General features: G+C 34.4%; 1 protein-coding gene and 1 pseudogene across 13 annotated transcripts in view; one reads left to right on the forward strand and one right to left on the reverse strand.

Annotated features, from left to right (window-relative positions):
• MIPOL1 (mirror-image polydactyly 1) overlaps positions 1-20,952 on the forward strand; it is a 354,425-nt gene that overhangs the window by 219,691 nt on the left and 113,782 nt on the right. For all 13 annotated transcript variants that reach the window (NM_001195296.2, NM_001195297.2, NM_138731.7 and 10 more), the window contains one exon: positions 5,228-5,322. In NM_001195296.2, the coding sequence (NP_001182225.1) occupies positions 5,228-5,322 (95 nt within the window). The remainder of the gene's footprint in view (positions 1-5,227; positions 5,323-20,952) is intronic.
• Positions 16,842-16,946, reverse strand: RNU6-886P (RNA, U6 small nuclear 886, pseudogene; annotated as a pseudogene).

Consider the following 20,952-nt stretch of genomic DNA (forward strand, 5'->3'; position numbering starts at 1 on the left):
TCTTCTGAGGTTAAAAATTAAAATCCTAGTAGGTCTATGGTCATGTTCTTTGAGAAATCATCTAACTTGATGTATTGTTTGAAGATACCCAATTATATATTTTATAGATGTGTTTAATAGTGCTAGCTTAATCATATATATTTATGGTTACTCTGGAAATAACTCTATTAAAATAACTATCACACATATTAAATTATACCATATTGAAATGTGGTCTTCTATGGTAAAATAAGCAATGTTTTCTGGATACTTGTTAGTTCCAACTTTCTTTCTAACCATCTATGAAACCTTGGACAATTTCCAAATGTTTCCCTGAACATGTTGTATTAGCAACAATTTCCTCCTCTATAAAAGTAAGGTTCCGTATTACCTCTGAGATCCTTTCCAAGTCTAAAATTATTTGCTTCTGTGATTTAATTTGTACTGTATGCTTCTTTATTTAGCAGATATCACACATAACATCAGATGTCTCTGTTCTAAGATAAAAACCAATTTCCATTCATGGTCTTGGAGTTACTAAAACAAGGCTTAACTGTATCAGACTATAACTATTAAAAACACATTTAAACCAAACATAACAAGATCTCAAGGAGAGATAAAAGTGGTTTATCCACAATACTGGTTAAGAATAGCGCTTAGTGATGTGAACAGTGTGGTCTTTTCTTTGTCATTCTGAGTTACTAGATTAAGCTCCAGTGAAACAATGTAGTTCATTTCTGATACAGTCCCAACACAAATGGCTGTCCTATTTAGATGGCATTGGTCAAGACTGATATCAAGATAGGTAACTATAAGACTAACCTTAGTTAACCAACCCATTTTTCAATCACGTAAGGTATAATAAAATACACTCTGATTATTCTGTGAACTTTGATTATTGTCATTAACTCTGTTATCAAATGATCATTTGATTCCATTATGTCACCTGGAATTATGTAATTTATATATAATGTATACAGTGGTATAAAAAGAAAATATGTATTTTGGAACAAATGGGTCTGAATTTCTATTTGAGTTCACTAGCTCTGTTATAATTAGAAATTACTTAAGCTTTATGAACCTATGTTTTATATCTTGCAAAATAGGGATAATAGGAACTACCTCATAGGTTGGTTATGAGAATAGAATATAGTAATATATTTTAAACACTCGAAAGAATGCCTAACTGATAGTAGGTGGTCAAAAAGTGGCATTGATTTGTAGTTAAGCTTGGATGTTTTAAAGCGATATCATTATAGGCAGAAAGTTTGGGCATTTTAAAATAAAGTATATAACTTTATTATCCATATAAAACTTTATATAGCTATATATATCTATATATAGTGTAAATGCACACTTACCACAGGACTCAGCAATTTCACTCTTAGGTATTTACCCAAGAGAAACAAAGTTATATTTCCACAAAAATGACCTCTATGTCGATATTTATAGCAGCTTTATTAGTAATTGCCAAAGAACTAGAAATCAGCCAAATGTCTAACAGGTAAGTGGATGTACAGATTGTGATACATTCATACAATTGAATACTACTCAGTGGTATAAAAGAATAAACTACCAGTACATGAAATAATATGGATGAATCTCAAAAAATTATGTTTAGGTAAAAGAAGCTAGACTCAAAAGACTGCATACTGTGTGATTCTATTTATATGACATTCTTAAAAAGGAAAAACTGTAGGGACAAAAATCACATCACTGATTGCCAGAGGCTGAGTGTGAAAAGAAGGCATTGACTCCAATGTTGCACAAGGACCATTTGGGGGTAACAAGAATATTCTGTGTCAAGACTGGATAACTTTGTCAAAATTTACAGAACTATATAGTGAAAATGGGTAAATCTTTACCTTATATAAATTATGACTCAATAAGTCTGACATTGAAAAATCCATATGTGTACTTACTTGCATATATGTTTACTTTGATAAAATTTTACCTAAAATATGAGTATAAGAAGAAAAAGTGTTATACTTGTGTAAAATGTTTATACTATAGTAAAAGTATAAAATATACTTGTAAATAATGAACCCAAATTCATAGAAGTGTTTTCTTTGGCGCTGGGAAGGAAGAAAGGGATGTGACTGATGAGTGTGATACGTGGAATGGGGTAGGGGATTTTTTTTTTTCTTTTTTAGAGACAGGGTCTCACTTTGTCGACCAGGCTGGAGTGCAATGGTGTGATCCTAGCTCACTGAAGCCTTGAATTCCTGGGCTCAAGCAATCCTCCTGCCTCAGCCTTCTGAGTAGCTGGGTCTATAGGTGCATGCCAGCCCACCCAGCTAATTTTAAAAATTTTTGTGGAGATGAGGTCTTGCTATGTTGTCCAGGCTGATCTCAACCTCCTGGGCTGAAGTAATCCTCCCACCTTAGCTTGCCAAAGCACTGGGAAATGAGGCATGAGCTACCATATAGGCATGAGCCACTGTACCTGGCTGAATTTTTTTTTTATGTGACGCAAAATAGCAATTTTTGAAAAAAAAAAAAGCAAGGTGTGTATAACAGTGTGTATAAAGCGCTATCAATTTTGTAAATCAGGGTAATTTATTTGCAAGTATCTATATATGCTTATATATGTACAGACTATCTCTGGAAGGAGGTACAATGGACAGATAACTAGTAGTCTCAGGAGAAGGGATTTGTAGTACTGAGGGTAGGAGGTGGGAGATTTACTTTACATTGTATATTCTCTTACACTGAGTTTTGTTAGTTTTTGTTTAATGCATGCATTTATTTTTGCAAGTATACACGTAAATGAATGCATGCAGTTTTTATAAAAGTAATTGCCAGAAATATGGGAATAGGATGCCTGAAAGAAAAACAGGAAAAATATCTTGTTTGTTAATTTCCTTGATATTTTTGATAAGAGACTTATTTTTGACATATAGTATGATAGGATTATATGATATAAATATCAATCTAGGAAATACTATAGAAGTAAAGAGCACATTTAAATTGGTTGAGTGTTTCAACAATGCATGCAACAGATACCCAACTCAGACTAGCCTAAGTCACCCTCCAACTTACCCCCCAACAAAGGATTTATCTACCCTGGAAGTCCAGGAAGCAGATCTGGATCTGTTTTCTGGCATATGTGAATCCAAGAGTAGAAATGATATCATCAGGACTTGGTTTTCTTCTGAGGCTAGTGGGATGCAGTACTTCAATTAGACAACCTGGATCTTATACCCGAGGTGATGGGGGATGAAGTTCATTGTAGCCACAGAGACTGAACAAGATCACTGTAGCATAGGATAAGGGTATTTCTGAAAAAAGAAATGCTGCTGGATAAGCATATATCTGATAAAGTAAGGATATCGTAAAGCCAGAAAGTTTATAATAGCTTTGAACATAATCACTAGGGCCTAGGAAAAAAATTAGATACTGGGAATTAAGAAATTGAGTGAATTGAGTGAACTGTTATAAAGCAACCAAGTCTTCATAGTCAACTAAGTGTGGGAGGAGAAAGTGAAATTTTCAATAGTACCTTAAGCATGGGAATTTAAATTTATCACAGTCCCATTTTCATTATGAAAATTTCTAGGCAAAAACTACATTTCAGTGTTTTCCTACAAGAATTTTTGTTTTGTTGGTTGGTTTTGGTTTTGTTTTCTGTGCACAGGTACCAAGTAAAAGACTTCAAAACAATCATTTTATTTCAGCATTTGTACATACGTAGCACTGGCACATATTTATTTAGTAAAATCTCTATTACCCGTTCAGTATTTGATATTCCTTAAATGCATGTCTGAAGTCTGAAGTTTTTAAAGTTGAATGTGATATTTTTGATTCTTTTTGACCTGCCATTAGTCACAGTGGGTATCTGTGTCTTCTAAGTTACCATTTTAATCACATTTTATGGTATACTGAAAATTGGAAAAGCTTGCATTCTTTGACGTTAAGAATCAGCCATCTATTTTTACTTTAGATGCTTTTCCCTAGTTTTTTAGAATGTTTTATCTCTAATTATGGACTATGTCATGTTAAAGCACGCATTCAAACATCTTAAATTTAACTATAAAGTAACACTTGGATAGAATTTACCAGTTCAGAGAACAGATTAATCTTAATGCTAAAACTTACATGCAAAGGTCCAAACTGCTGCATGCTTTTAAAATTATTATCAAAATAGAAAAGTAGCATTCTGTAAAGTTCACTTTTATTACATTGATTAATTTTCCTATAATCAGGGTTTTACAATTTTTCTTATGACTTCTTATACAATAAAATAATTCCATTGAAATTATATGAATTCAGCAAAATTCTGAACCTGTGGCTCCAAACTTTCTATTACTTTTTAATTGTTGGTGGTGTCCTACTTTGTGAGGTTTGTGACAACAATTTGCTCTGTGTTACCTTTCAAACACCATTTAAAGCAAAGTGAAAGATAACCATTTTATGAAAATTTAACTTTGAATAAACAATACTAAAACCTGACTTACCAGTGCCAGATTTTCAAAGTTACTTGAAAACTGTTTTTGGTGTTGTTTGAAATCCTATGGGAATGATGGTGGGAGGGTGGCAAATTCTTTTTAAATTACTACGTTGAACCTCATTGAAAAAAACTGATTACCTGTTCTTTAAAACTCAAAAATTATAGCAGGAAGGAACAATAATGCCCCTTTAATAAAGTATCACTAGCATTTACGGTTGCTGCCGTTCTCCCCTTTCGGGATTTGTTTTTCTCCCACAGAGAAGGAATTGAAAAGGTTAAATCATAACTGTAAGAATCAGTCTGTAGCCTGCTGTATTTTTTTCACATTCAATATCAAAGATGGCTTGACAACATATTTAGAATTTTCTGAGTTTTACTATTAATAAAGTTAAAAGAAAATCTAGTATGTTCAGGCAGTGGAGCCACATTAAATTTGTATGTGAAACACCCATTGTACTTATCTCTACTGTAGATATTGCTCTGAAACCCATGTTCCACTTTCTGAATTCTGTGTATAAAGTTAAACATTGCAGAAGGGCATATATCTGATGGTACAGATAAATAAGGTTGAAGTTTAGTAATGAGCAAGATTGCTAAATTTAATATGTTCAAGTTTTTAGTGTTTGTATTATTAATGCCTTTAGACTATTTTCTGGTAACTTATGAGACACTGCTAAAAACATTCATAGGTTTTTTTTTTTAACTGTCAGTAATTTAAGACTACTGTTCTTACCGTGGTACTGTATTTTATCATACCAAAATGAATACTGAATTTCTTAAAATATTAATTACTTTTAGGCAAAGTTGTTATCTATGCAACAAGCCAGAGAAACTGCAGTTCAACAGTACAAAAAACTGGAAGAGGAAATCCAGACCCTTCGAGTTTACTACAGGTAAAATTCTTTTTAGCCTGGGGTTAAGTAAATATTGTTAGTTTGGGAAATGTTTCTACCTGATTTTACAATAGTGAATGAGGAAATACCTCAATGAAATTAAATATTATGCACTTAAAGCATTTTTATAACTAAAAAAGATTCAGGCTTATAGTATTTATTATTCTACCTCTTCTCTTTACTATATTTGGTAAAGTTTAAATTTCCACTTTCATTGTAACTGAAATTTACATAATCCATTACCAGTTGTCTAAATGAAGCCTGGATAGCTGTTGAGCTATTTGCCCATCTAAATATCACCTCTAAAACAATCGTAAATATAAATATAAAATATACATACATTTATACTTATACATATAAATGTAATATATATTTAAATATATATATTTTAAAACACACATGAGCAGCAATAATAACCTTTCATGTATTTTAATATGACAGACTTATTAATTTATGTTACAGGAGTATTCACAACTACCCCTGTAACATAAATTAATAAGGTAGGTATTTTTTAATGAAAATGAATAGAAATGTCAGAATGCATCTCTTATAGTAATGGTAAACTTTTGTTTCAGGTTTGTATGTGAGAAAGAGAAAAAAGATTTTGTATTGGGTTATGTGTAAAACATATTCTTACAGTGGATCATGGTAGAAAACATTGAAAAAACACACCGATGCACAATGCCATGTATATTCTTTCATTACTAAGTTTAAAAAATCCTCAAGTCTGAAATGTAGGAATTCACTAAGGGTGCTGTTAAGTTTTTGAAAGATTTTTGTTTTAATTTGGACCTTTTCTCAGAATAAAGTTAAAATGCATAAAATGCAATTAAATCAAAATAAGTTTTACTGAAGTACAATTAAGAAAATATTATGTCATGATATATCATGATATACATGCATCATTATTAATGGATAAAGTAACTAGATCTAGCAGCAAGTCCATTAACAACTTTAGTTTCAAGCCAGTGATGACTGTAAGTGGTATTTTTGGATAACTGCAAATGCTGAAATGTGACATGAAAATACCAGTGATTTCTATGGGTGCAAACTCTCAAGAACCACTGATATTACTACTGCAATTTGTTGCTCATGTTCATAATTGTAGGAAATACTGTAGTTCCATAAGAGTTGGTGAAAATAAAGATATAATTCTTTCCCATCCCCAAGTTAAGCACTCCTGCTTTGGAGCAATATTACTAACATCTGCAGTAGTTGGCTATTGTTACAGGTTGAATTATGCCACCCAAAAAGGTTATACTGATGTCCTAACCCCTGCTATCTGAGAATGTGATTTTATTTTGAAATAGGGTTTGTACAGAGGTAATCAAATTAAAATAAAGTCAGTAGGGTGGGCTCTAATCCACTACTAGTGGTGTCCCCATAAAAAGGGGAAATTATGGACACAGAGACAGACATGCACAGAGGGAAGACAATCTGAAGACACACAGGGAGAAGACTGCCATGTATCTACAAGCCAAGGAGGGCCAACAATTGCTGGTAAACACCAAACACTAGAAGAGGCAAGGAAGGACTCTCCTTTACAGTTGTCAGAAAGAACATAGCCCAGCCGACACCTGATTCCAGACTTCTATAGTTTCCAGAACTATGTGATATTAAATATCTGTTGTTTTAAGCCACACAGTTTGTGGTACTTTGTTATGGCTGTCCTTGGAAACTAATGCAGTTATCAAACGTCAAGTATGTTTGGTTGGTCACTGACTGTTGGGAATCATTTGCTTTTGCAATTAGAATTAGTGTCTATAAGTGGGCATACAGGTATCGAAAACCCTGATGGTGAATGAATACATCCTACCAACCTACTTTATTTTGGACTATAAAATGAATATTACACTCTTTCCTCTGTCTTTTACACCAATGACTCTCAACTGTAGCTGCCATTAGAATAACCTGATGGCCTCTAAAAATTCTGACACTTAGCCCACCCCATGCTGATTACATCAGTGTGTTTTTAAAGCTCTCTAGAAAATTCCTTTATGCAGCCAAGTTTGAGAGCTGATGTTCTACATGCATATTTCAGTTAGCTGCATTAAATTAGGATCTCTTCTTGGTAAAGTAATAAAGAGGCAGATATTAAACCAATTATGAACACATGAATGCCATGTGGTTTGTGCCCTGACCATGGACATTGCAATGTGGTAATTAGTAGATTCACCTTATTGATGGGGAAGGTTTTTATGGAACATTCTCCAGTAACATTTATGGGACAAGACAGTAGGTGCTCTGTTGATGAAGTGACAGTGTCAGAGAATTCCAAGAGGTATATGATGATGTTGCATGAACTGACATTACTTCCTAACAAGCAAACCTTGATGCCAGTTCCTGAAGCTCCTTCTCTGCTGAATTGTGGAAGATGATTAAATCATTTTTGAAAATCATAAAGCTAAAATTCTTGTTTTTCAAATACTCTTTAAAATCTACATGAGTCTAGTAGGATTATATGATCTCTTCTAAATAGAGATTAGTAATTATTGGTTGAAAGATATGCTTCACAACTACTTTTCTCACTGCTACTTAAAAAAAATTTATGGTGATGTAATAAAGCCACTGGGATTTGCAATTAGACAGCCATGACATGTGTGGTCGTGTATAAATGAACCTCACCAAGCTCCTTTCCTTTCTTTAAAATGAGAGTAATAGTACCTACTTATAGGGTTGTTTTAGGTATATTCAGTTCTTAGCACAGTGTTTGGTTTATTGTTATTGATCAACCAATGTTAAGATATATTTCTTTTTAAAACAAAAGATCATTGAGGTAGGAGCAGAACCAAAAAATATATCACTGAAACCAAAGAAGATTTCCCATAGGAAAAAAGAGTCAAATGTTACTAAGTGGTTAACTATGATAAGGACCAAAGGTATCCTTTACATTGGAAATTCGGTGGCCATTAGTGACTTCCACAGAGTAGTTTAGTCAACAGAGTATTAGATATAGACATCAGTTTTCTGTGAATTGAAGAGTAATTAGGAGGTAAAGAAGCATAGCAATTTGGACAATAGAGCAGTCCTTGAAGAAACTTGAGTAAGAAAGGTGGTAATGATAATTGAGAAGAGAGGAAACGTAGGTTAAGGATTTTTGTTTTTGAAAAATAGCAAATACTTGAGTATATTTATGGCTAATTTGAGGAAGCCACAATAAAGAATTCTTATAGAGCAAGATTCCAGAGGAGGTAGGAAGGGATGGAATTTAGAGTATCTGCAGAAAAGTTCACCTTGAACAAAAAGCTGGCCAAATTGTGATCAGAGACAGGAGTAAAGGAATTAAGAATAGCTATATTTGTAAATTTGAGGCCACAATTAGTATTAACCACACCTCCAACCCCCTACATAAAGTAGGGGTCAGTGTTGGCTTCTGAACATGAGAGGGTGGGCAGATCACCTGAGGTCAGGAGTTCAAGACCACCCTGGCCAACATGATGAAACCCTGTCTCTACTAAAAATACAAAAAATTAGCCAGGTGTAGTGGCGGACACCTGTAATCCCAGCTACTCAGGAGGCTGAGGCAGGAGAATCACTTGAGGTGGAGGTTGCAGTGAGCCAAGATTGCACCATTGCACTCCAGCCTGGGCAACAAGAGTGAAACTCTGTCTCAAAATATACATATATATATATATATATATATATACACACACACATACATATATAATATGTATATATGTATATATATATATTATATATGTGTATATATATATGCACACAAGTATGTATAATTCAAGAGCTGAAGAGACAGGAGATTGAAGTCGGAAAGTGGAATGTTACTATTTAAGTGAAATGCTTAAATGAAGTGAAGCACTCAGTTCTGAGCATGACCCAAAAACAGATAAATCGTACATATTGAATGAAGATATATCATAAGAAGAGACCTGCACAATGTGTGATGCATGGAAGAATGTTTGGTATCCACTCAAAAATTTAAGGGAAGTTGCATCTTCCAGGGAGATTCCATGTTTCTCCTAAAACAAAAAGATACAGAGAACTTTCCTGCATCGCTGATGGGAATGTAAATTGATGCAGTCACTGTGGCAGACAATTTGGTGGTTCCTCAAAGGTCAAACACAGAATTACCATATGATCTAGCAAGCCCACTCCTAGGTATATACCCAAAAGAATTGAAAGTAAGGACAAGCAGTTACTGTACACCGATGTTTATGAAAGCATTGTTCATATTAACCAAAAGGTGGAAACCACCCAAGTGTCCCTCAGCAGATGAATAAACAAAATGTGGTATATACAGAGAATGGAACATTATCCAGCTATTCATTATTCAAAAACAAATGAAATTCTAATACATGCTGCAACATGGACAAACCTAAAGACATTATGCTAAGCGAAATAAACCAGATAAGAAAGAAAGATTGTATGATTCCACTTATATGAGGTACTTAAAATAGCCAAGTTCATAGAGACAGAAAATAAAATAGAGGTTACCCGGAGTTGGAGAAGGGGAATACGGAGTTATAAGAGTGGGGAATTATATGATTTACATAGAGTGGGATGATGAAAAGTTGTGGAAATGAATAATGGTGACAATTGTACAATATTGTCAGTATACTTACTGCCAGTAAGTTGTGCAGTTAAAATGATTAAAATAGTAAATTTTATGTTGTCATTTTACCACACATTTTTTTAAAGGTACAGAGAACACTCTGTGAGGATATACAGAAATTTATTTTAAATGGGATTAGTTTAAGATTCCTGGGATGTACAACTCTAGGACGGGGGAGGAAATTATGAAAAAAACCAAGCTTAAGTTTCCTGCAAGCTCAAAGTCTACTTTAATTTGATTTAAATGAAAGTAAACAGTATTTCTTACACACCTGGTAAATGGTGCTTACAAATCTGTATGTGAAACACAACTAATTCATAGAAATATTAGTTTTTTCTACTAATTTTCCTATGTTATAGAGGAAATGAAAAGGTTCCATTTTATGTGAAGGAACCTAAAACTAACTGTAATTTTCAGATAGATTAAATGGATAGATAGAACTCATAGATAATGGATTATGTCTGGCAAGCAATACTTACAGCTATCCAAATCAGTTTACATTTACATATACATTTATACATGTATATTGTCATATTAGAGAAAGTTATTTACCAATATTTAAGAAAAAAATAAGGCTGGGAAAATATAGGATTAGGACAGGTAGCTAGAGCCTGGAGTGAGTCAGAATACAGCCGGCATGTATACTGTGAAGCAGCAAAAGAGAAAACTTCAAGTCTGACTCTCAACTCTCCAACAGCCAAAACAATGGAGGATGTATGATCAGCTCTTCGTTTTAGGGGCAGATTAAAATATGATGATGGCTTTCATTCTACCTTTCCTTTGATTTTACTAATTAGTGGCCGGGCATGGTGGCTCACGCCTGTAACCCCAGCACTTTGGGAGGCTGGCGGATCACTTGAGTCCAGGAGTTCAAGACCAGCCTGGGCAACATGACCAAACCCCATCTCTACAAAAAATACAAAATTTAGCAAGGCATGGCGTGTGCCTGTAATCCCAGCTACTCGGGAGGCTGAGGTGGGAGGATCACTTGAGCCCAAGAGGCAGAGGTTGCCGTGGGTGGAGATCACACCAGTGTACTCCAGCCTGGGAAACAGAGTGAGACTCTGTCTCCCCAGTTTTTTTCTTCTTTACTAATTAGTGATACTGGCCTTTTTTTTAAAAAAGTGGGTTTTTTTCCAAAAATCTTTTTTTTTTTTTTTTTCTGGTTTAGTGTAAGAGCTACTGCTGGTAAAAACATTCCATTCCCTTGTATGGAAATAAGGAAACTGGAAATATGGAAATACAGGTTTATGAGTTTCTTTATTCTGTTTGTTTCCTTTGAGTTTTAGAATATTTTGAGTGCTAAGAAAATGAAGTGTTGGTCTTTTGTTTCTTTTGGCAGTTAGGAGCAGTGGCCAGTGAGATGGGAGGATAGAGATATTAAACTTACCACTGTAGCTGATAGCTCTTATGCATTAAAACAGAAAAGATAGCAGGAGAGGACTAACAATACAAAGATTTAAAATAAATTCCACATATTATAAAAGTGCTATTAGTAAATATTAGTACCTCCTGATTGCTATAGCAAATGCTAAATCCATTTGCAACACTTTCATTAATCTAAATCTAGACAGTTTCATCAAGAAAGAATCTTAAACTTGTAGGGATTAGATTTGTATTTAGTAATGATTTTTTTCCTGTTGTTATAAACCTGTAGTGCTGCATTCCTAAGTTCAGGAGGCATAATAATAACAAACTCTTTTCTAATTGAGGGAATGCCTGTTTCGATGTTTGCTGATTTTATAGTGCTTCCTTATATTTTCTTTCACTTAAAGAAAGTGTAAATTAAAGTGTTTAGACAAGAATTAGACCTTGTTGTTTGGAGCCAGTAGTATAGGATTTATTATACATATTATAATTAACAAGTCAGTGTGTTTTAAATTTTTATTATATTTTGTGTGATTCCATGTGTGAATTTGTAATGCCATTCAGAATATGGTAAAGTTGACATTTTAGAACAAAAATGTTGAAGAGAATTCTTCACTTTTTAAGGTAATTTGTTTCCTGTGATTGAACTAGTATTTTTTGATAATAATTATATGAAATACTTACGTGTTTAACATAGTGAAAAGTGGAATAAACATTAACCCTACTTACTGGGTTTGTAGTATACATTTAAAAGTCATAGAAACCATAAAGATAGAGGCCAGATGAAATATACACAAAAAGAAAGTAAAATTCTTTATTTTTTTCTATATTACTTTAGTAAATTTTATTCAGTATAGGTCCTTTTCTCTTTGTGTACTTTTTTTGGTCTGTGTATATACTGTCCTTAACAGTCAGAAATACTGCTGACTGTCACTAGAATCCATGGGGTTTTTTTGTTTTGTTTTAATGGTAGTGATAGTTTTTTATTGGACCATATGCTTTCTTGGTCAGAACTACGAGTTGATAAGAAAAGTCACTGGTGATTATAGCATGCAAACTATAGCCATGAAGCAATATTTTTCTCAATGCAAATCCCTCACCAAGAGTGGGGTTGAACACTCAATCCTGACCTCGTTAGTTGTATATTCTAATCAGTAGTGTCAGTTGGCCTACCCGGTGACATAAATTTTTTGTCACACCTCTGTTTTCTCTAATAATTAACTATCTATGGAGCTACATTATGGTACCATACTGCAACAGCTGTGATTAAAAAGAACACAAGAAGACTTGAATTACACTTCCATCTTTGGCATTAATCAGATTTTTTTTTGATTACCGTAGACAAGTTTCAACTTTGCTTGATTTCAGCTTCTTTAATTTTGACGTGAAAAGCTTTTTCTACTTCTCACATTTTATGAAATTTGTTACCCCTTTATATGGTAGATTAAATTTTTATTTAGTAACATTTAAAGTCAAACAGTCTTTTTATGCCATTAAGTTGTGTCTATTTTCAGGGCCTTTAAATTTAAAAATTTACAGCTGGCTTCACTGTTCAAGTCACTATATATATATTTATTGGTGACTCTGGAATGTAAAACAAAAAGAAAATTAAAATAGTTTTTTTTTTTAAAAAAAAGTATACATTTTCTGTATGTCCAGTGATTTGGACTATATTTATTAAGCATTTGTCTCTTCTTCCTCTCAACTTATAGAATGTGGCATTTACTAAGCTACTTCTGAATGTCGATTGCCTCACCTGTAAACAGCAATAGTATCTAACCTGCTTAATATGAAAATCAGTGAGATGATACATCTGAATGTTTTTGAAAACTGTGAAGCACTGTGCAAAGGAGATATATTAATAAATGTAATTTATAAAATCACTTACAAATGTTTGCTGTCTTGAGACATAAGACAATTAAATTAGTAAAGAGGCTATTGCTACTGAAGTAAATTTGTATCTTCTATAGCTTTCTATCCAGAAGGACGTTTTTTGGCATTATCAGTTTTCACAATTTTCTGCGCCTTATTCAACACAGTAAGCTATAAGAATAAAACTAAATTTCAACATGTATAGCTCTCAACTGCTAATTGTTATTCTACAAAGTGACTCAACCTCCTTTTAAGAGCATTTAACAAAATATTTTGTCACTTAATGGTTGTGCCTAGCAAAGGACCCAGAGTTTGTATTAGAATGGGCTTGCTAATTATAGGTCCTGGAATTTGATGTTTCTAAACGTTGTTTCTATTAGCTTGAGAAAAATACAGTTTTATATTTTGTTAGATTAAAAAAGTGCAGTGTTTCCCTTGGTCTTGGCACTCAGAATCACTATTATTATAGGTCCACAGGTGGCAATTGCCTCCTACATAGGTAATCTTTGATTCATCGCTTTCTTAAATTTAATTTATAACGAGCTTTTGCTAGATTTTTCCTTGCAATCATTGTCACTTTTGCCTTTGCCTACTTAGACTACACCTGAATAATTTCATGCCCAAGCTTTTTTTGCTACTTTGTTTACTTGTCTTCTCCATCCTTACTTCTCTTAAGATTCCTGAAACTTTATTTTCACCCTCTGATTCAGCCATCAATAGTATTTAACAATACCACATTACATATATAATAAAGTCCGAACTCTTTAATGTAACGTTCATGAACTTCCTTGATATTGCTGCCATCTCTGTTTCTTTTTTTTTTTTTTTTTTTTTTTTTTTGAGACAGAGTCTTGCTCTGTCGCCCAGGCTGGAGTGCAGTGGCGCGATCTCAGCTCACTGCAAGCTCCACCTCCCAGGTTCACACCATTCTCCTGCCTCAGCCTCCCAACTAGCTGGGACTACAGGCACCCGCCACCATGCCTGGCTAATTTTTTTTTTTTTGTACTTTTAGTAGGAACGGGGTTTCACCATGTTAGCCAGGATGGTCTCGGTCTCCTGACCTCGTGATCCGCTCGCCTCAGCCTCCCAAAGTGCTGGGATTACAGGCGTGAGCCACTACGCCCGGCCCTGTTTCTAGTTTAGTATTTCACCAATCATCTTTTTGCTTCCCAGTTTCATTCATATTTGTGTCACTGGTATACTGCTTCACACATAGTAAGCGCTCAACAAATATTTGTTACACTGAATTGACTATTTTGTGCACTCCCAAAATAGATTGTTCAATATTCCATGGACACACCCAACAATTTCCCACTTCAGTGCTTTCTCATGTCGTCATTTCCTCCTGGACTACTCCATCTCTGCCTATCCCATTTTTATTGAGGCTTCACATCATAATTTAAGTAACAGCTATTCTATTAATCCTTTTCTAATCTTGTCCGTTAGAAGTGATCTCACTGTGTAAAATTCCTACCATAGTTATTCACAGTGGCTCTCTTGCAATACATACCTCATGCCTTCTAGTCCAATAGTTCTATGAATATGTGTCTTAACTCCCCTACTAGTGCTTCTGTTCTTTATGTATAGCAAGACTTTAGTAAATATATGTCCACAAATGAATAAACAAAGTTAACACTAGATTGAAAGTTTATTCAGATGTACAGTGTCTCCTGCACAATGTTTTTTTGTGTGCATTGCATATAATAAGAACTCATTGATAAATGTGTAAATGAATGAATGATTTTAGATGACATGAACCTAGTCCAGCATGTAGGTTAGTTATTTACACGGATGTGGGTCAAAATGGTGTCTCCATATAATAAAGCAAATATATCACCTACCAAAAAAATTTCTTTTTTTTTTAGACCTACAGTGTTCATATTTGAAAACTATCATTGGAAACATTTGTTTGGATTTTACCTTTCTTAAAATTTAGAATTAAAAAAAAAACTTAGGAAATAGTATCATTATCCACTGTTCATTGCAGCATTATTCTTAGAATGAAAAAATAAAATATTTTCCGTGGTTGCTTTGTTTGGTCTGCATATCATTGGAAAAAATATATTAAATTCATTGCCAAAATGAGATCTAGGAGATCTGGCAATGTGGGACGCTTAGGATTATAGTATGACATGTTTATTATTCAGGGTTCTTCAGAGAAAGAGAACCAATAGACTGTATATAAATAGGGCAAGAGATTCATTTTAAGAAGTTGGCTCAAACAATTGTGGGGCCTGGCAAGTCTGAAAATCTCAGAGCAAGCCATCGGGCTGGAAAACCAGTGAAGGGCTGATGTTGTACTTTTTAAAATTTTTTATTTTTGACTCAGGGTCTCGCTCTGTTTCCTAGGCTGGAGTGCAGTGGTGCAATCATAGCTCACTGCAGCCTCAAACTCCCATGCTGAAATGATCCTCCTGCCTCAGCCTCCTGAGTAGCTAGGACTACAGGCACATGCCACCATGCCTAATTTTTTTTTTTAATTATACTTTCAGTTCTGGGATACATGTGCAGAGTGCAGGTTTGTTACACAGGTATACATGTACCATGGTGGTTTGCTGCACCCATCAACCCATCATCTACATTAGGTATTTCTCCTAATGCTATCCCTCCCCTTGCCCCCCAACCTCCAACAGGCCCCGGTGTGTGATGGTCCCCTTCCTGTGTCCATGTGTTCTCATTGTTCAACTTCCGCTTATGAGTGAGAACTTGCAGTGTTTGGTTTTCTGTTCCTGTGTTAGTTTGCTGAGAATGATGGTCTCCAGCTTCAACAATGTCCCTGCAAAGGACATGAACTCATTCTTGTTTGTTTGTTTTTTTGAGACCAAGTCTCGATCTGTTGCCCAGGCTGGAGTGCAGTGGCGTGATCTCAGCTCACTGCAACCTCTGCCTCCCAGGTTCAAGTGATTCTTCTGCCTCAGCCTCCCAAGTAGCTGGGATTACAGGTGCCCGCCACCATGCCCGGCTAATTTTTGTATTTTTAGTAGAGACGGGGTTTCACCATGTTGGCCAGGCTGGTCTCAAACTCCTTATCTCAGGTGATCCACCTGCCTCGGCCTCCCAAAGTGCCAGGATTACAGGCATGAGCCACCGCACCCGACCCTGAACTCACTCTTCTTTATGGCTGCATAGTAGTCCATGGTGTATATGTGCTACATTTTCTTTATCCCGTCTATCATTGATGGGCATTTGGGTTGGTTCCAAGTGTTTCCTATTGTGAATAGTGCCGCAATAAACATACGTGTGCATGTGTCTTTATCATAAAATGATTTATAATCCTTTGGGTATATACCCAGTAATGGGATCGCTGGATCAAATGGTATTTCTGGTTCTAGATCCTAGAGGAATCACCACACTGTTTTCCAAAATGGTTGAACTAATTTACACTCCCACCAACAGTGTAAAAGCATTCCTATGTCTCCACATCCTCTCCAGCCTCTGTTGTTTCCTGGCTTTTTAATGATCACCATTCTAACTGGCGTGAGATGGTATCTGACTGTGGTTTTGATTTGCATTTCTCTAATGACCAATGGTGATGAGCTTTTTTTCATATGTTTGTTGGCCACATAAGTGTCTTCTTTTGAGAAGTGTCTGTTCATATCCTTCGCTCATTTTTTGATGAGGTTGTTTTTTTTCTTGTAAATTTGTTTAAGTTCCTTGTAGGTTCTGGATATTAGCCCTTTGTTAGATGGATAGATTGCAAAAATTTTCTCCCAAAAATATGGAATGCTTCACGAATTTGTCTGTCATCCTTGCATAGGAGCCATGCTAATCTTCTCTGTATGGTTCTAATTTTAGTATATGTACCCAAGGTGAGCACTAATTTAAAAAAAAAATAGAGGCAAGGTCTCACTATGTTGCCCAGGCTAGTCTTGAACTCCTGAGCTCAAGCAATCCTGTCGCCTCGACTTCCCAGTGTTGGGATTACAGGTGTGAGCCACCGTACTTAGCAGATGTTGTGGCCTTGAGTCTCAAGATGCAGAATTTCTTCTTCCTTAGGGGATCTCTGTCTTCCACTGATTGGATAAGGTCTACTCATAATTATAGAGGCCGTCTGTTGTGCTCAAAGTCTACTGATTAAACATGTTAATCACAGCAAAAAAAAAAAAAAAACAAAATACCTTCACAGCAACATCTAGATTGCTGTTTGATCAAATATCTCATTACCGTAGCCTAGCCAAGTTGACACATAAAATTAACCATCACACGTGCATTTCAACAATTGACTAGGGCCAGGTAAAAATTACCCTCTCTAAAAGGGGCATGCACTTGCCATTTCACCACACTTTCTATTCCACCTACTTTGTGAATTTAAAGTCATCTTCCTCAACCCTGTAGGTATTTAATTTTATGACCCCAGATGTATGTTGTGATATTACTTATAAAATGGATGTTTGTACACGTATACATATACTCTGGCCCCTGGCTACCTCTCTAACCTTATTTCTTAACATGTTTCTACTCTTGGTTCACTCCAGCCACACTAGGTTCCTTAATAACTCAAATATTCTAGGTGTGCTCCCATCCCAGGGCCCTGCCATGTGTTTTCTCTGCCTGGAGTGTTCTACCCCCGGAATGTCACATGAGTCTGTTCCTTTACTTTGTTCAACTTCCTGCTTCAATGTCACAAGATCACACTATCTAAAATAGTGTACCCTCTTACTACATCACTCTATTTGTTACCCTCCTTTATTATTATTTTTTTTCATAATAGACATGCTTACATGACACTATACTGTATTAGTGGATTGTCCTTTAGGATTTTTTTTTTTAACCGCTGAATCTTATACCTGAATCAGTGCTTGGCATGTCTCTGATGCTCAATAAGTGTTTTGAATGAATGAGTATGTATTAAATATACGTGTATGCTTAAACATTGTGATACATTAGAAACTTAACAGCAGGTTGCCTGGGAAGTGAGACTGAGTCTAGCAGTCAGATTTCTTATATCCATGGTGAGTGAGAGAAGGGGACATTTTAACTTTCATTTCATACCCTAATAAAGTGTTTGAATTTAAAAATTTTTTATGTACATGTATTACTTTTGTATATTATAGCAATGAGTTTTGTAAGTTTTGAAAAGACTCATGCATGGTAACCTGCACAAATTAAGCTTAATGCTTAGAAATGATAATGAAAAACTGATCTATGTTTTGGTATATGTATATTTATGACAATGTGGTTAATTTTTTTAAAATAGATTTTATTAGTGTTGTGCTTTACAAAAGGCAGGATTTATAAGGGAATTAAATTCCAGAGTAGACTTTATTCACCTGTGTTATGGAAAATATACATATAAATGATATCTTCACTTGCATTTTATGTTTGCCAAATATTTTTAACTGTTTTTGAAGGTATTTTACATGGCACTAATTCAAGCAGTTTTTAAAAGTAAAATAAGATGTTAAAAAAAATACTACCAACTTTAAAAGAACTATTAACCTGACATTCTTCTTCCACTTGATACAGAAGCAGGATTCTGTGACTGGTTAGAGATGAAGAGGGTGCCTTTTTAAAATAATTCAATCCTGTGAACACCAGCTATAGTCAGAAATGATAAGGAGAGGAGAGAATTCCTTCATATTTCAATAAATTTCACTCAGTTTAATTAGGTTTATTTAGTATATTTTAATTATAGATGTTTTCTTTTTCTTTCCATGACACATGCATTAGTAAATGAATTAAAGATTTTTATTGAATCTAAACTAGTTAAAAATATTTGGCAAATGAAAATAATAGCTAATAATTGAAGACCTTTGTTCAGGAACATTCTGATTCATTAATTGCAAAAACAATAAATGTTAAACATACAGTACAAGATCTAATAAACTGAGATCTTTAAGCTAGTTTTGATTTCTATAAACTTTCTAATGCCACTGCTGTCATAAAAAGCTTAGTAAATATTGACTGAGGATGATGATGACGATCCGTCAGTATTTTTAAGACTGGGTGGCACTGGCAGTACAGTCAGATATCCGGGACTTAACATTGTTATTTTGCCATGAGGCCCTTCCACCTGGCCCTATCCCAAAATGATGAATGTTTACCTATAGTTAGGTATTTAAATGTGTAAATATTCCAGATTCAATTATATGTGAGGTAGCTAGAGTTTTCATTCCTTAAATCATGAACTAGTTCTCTAAAGTTTAAATGATTTACAAGTCTGCAAGGGTCAAAATTGACTTGACTGAATGTTTTCCCCATAATTCCAAAAACATTATTTTATGAGTTCAGTTCAGTATAAAAATATTATGCCCCACTGACTATTCCAAACCTAAGATGTTTATGAAATGTATGAATTTATTAAGGTTTAATTTACTATTCTGTTTAGTTGTTAAGCTTTAAATGTTGTTGTACAGTATGTCTTGTTCTCTTTAGGCTTAAAAGGGTTTTATGACAATCAGTATTCTATTAATGTAGTTCCAGTTATTCCCCAAAAATATCTTCTAAAACTTCCTGGTTCTGATTGAATCACAACTGAACAATATTCAGTTACTATGTAAAGCAATCAAGAAGTTCAAAAGCCTAGGGATAGGGACTGGCTTTTTAGTTTAGTTTTATTCAATGTTAATCTGATAAAGATTTTCATTTATTTTAACCCATGGAAAGTTTAGTTGTCCTATCAAGCTTGGTTAGTTGTTCTAAACTATAAAAAATAAAAATTTTTGAAAATATTACATGAAAAAAGGTGAAAATTGAGATTTTGTCCTAGAAAGTTGGACGCACTGTTCACTTAAATTATAATTAATAATGAAGAAAACGTCATATATTTCTAAATCTACTTTCATTAGGTCTTCCTTCACCTTTTCACTTGTAAAACTTTTGTTTTCCATTCATTCTTTTGTATGATACAGTGTTTTAATTCAGAGCTAACACCACAGTAAGACAGATGGTGCAGGTTCTGCCTTTCCAGCTGAGTGACCATCAACGGGTAATTAACCTCTCAAAGCCTCAATTTCCTGACCTGCAAAGTAAGAATTGTAATTATACCTGCCTCATATCATTGTTTTAGAATAACCAAATCAAATAATGCATGTACAATGCTTTATACAGTACTTGGGTACACTTAGGAATGTAATGAAGGTAACCCATTATTATTATAATCCCAATGTTGAGTTTTTATTGTTATCATTAGCTCTTTTTTGAGATTCTGTTAATACATTTATAACTTTTTTTTAGCTTTTTAGGCATTAAACGCAATATTTTGTGAACACAATATGCAATCATTTGATTTTTCTTTAGGAACAAGTTTTCGCTGTAGTTAAGATGGTTGATTTTTTTCTTGTGAGGCATTTAAAAAAATATTTTGTGAAAATGGCATGCTTGAACTTAGATTTGGCCCTTTTTGATTAACAGTTTGTTTTCAGGAGTTGTTTATTCACACAGCAACATTTTAGTGTTCAAAAATATATTGAGAAATTCAAATCTAATAATCTTCATCACTTGTCCCCTAACCTATGAAAAACATGTTTTCCAAAGAGTACAAATTCAAAGTATAACATTTTCTTCAATGTTTTGTGTTAAAACTGTTACCCTAGAAAATACAGATATAATTTTTAAAGCTACGTTTGTAATTCCTTCTGTCTTATATCTTGGAGTTCAATACATATGTTATCTTATTTAATCCCTTCAACATCCTTGTAAGGCATCATCCCTTTTTGGAGAGGAGAAAACTGAAACAGAGAGAAAACTAACATCCCCTAGGTTACATTAAGGCCATCGACAGTGGCATAAATATTATCTAATCCTCCTGATAGCTGGGCCTTTTACTTTGCTACTGGACCCCTTCCTCTACTCATGCCTCCCTCAGAAATACAGCTGAAGCA

This window comes from Homo sapiens, chromosome 14 (genome assembly GCF_000001405.40).
Source record: "Homo sapiens chromosome 14, GRCh38.p14 Primary Assembly".
In the NCBI taxonomy this organism is placed as follows: Eukaryota; Metazoa; Chordata; class Mammalia; order Primates; family Hominidae; genus Homo; species Homo sapiens.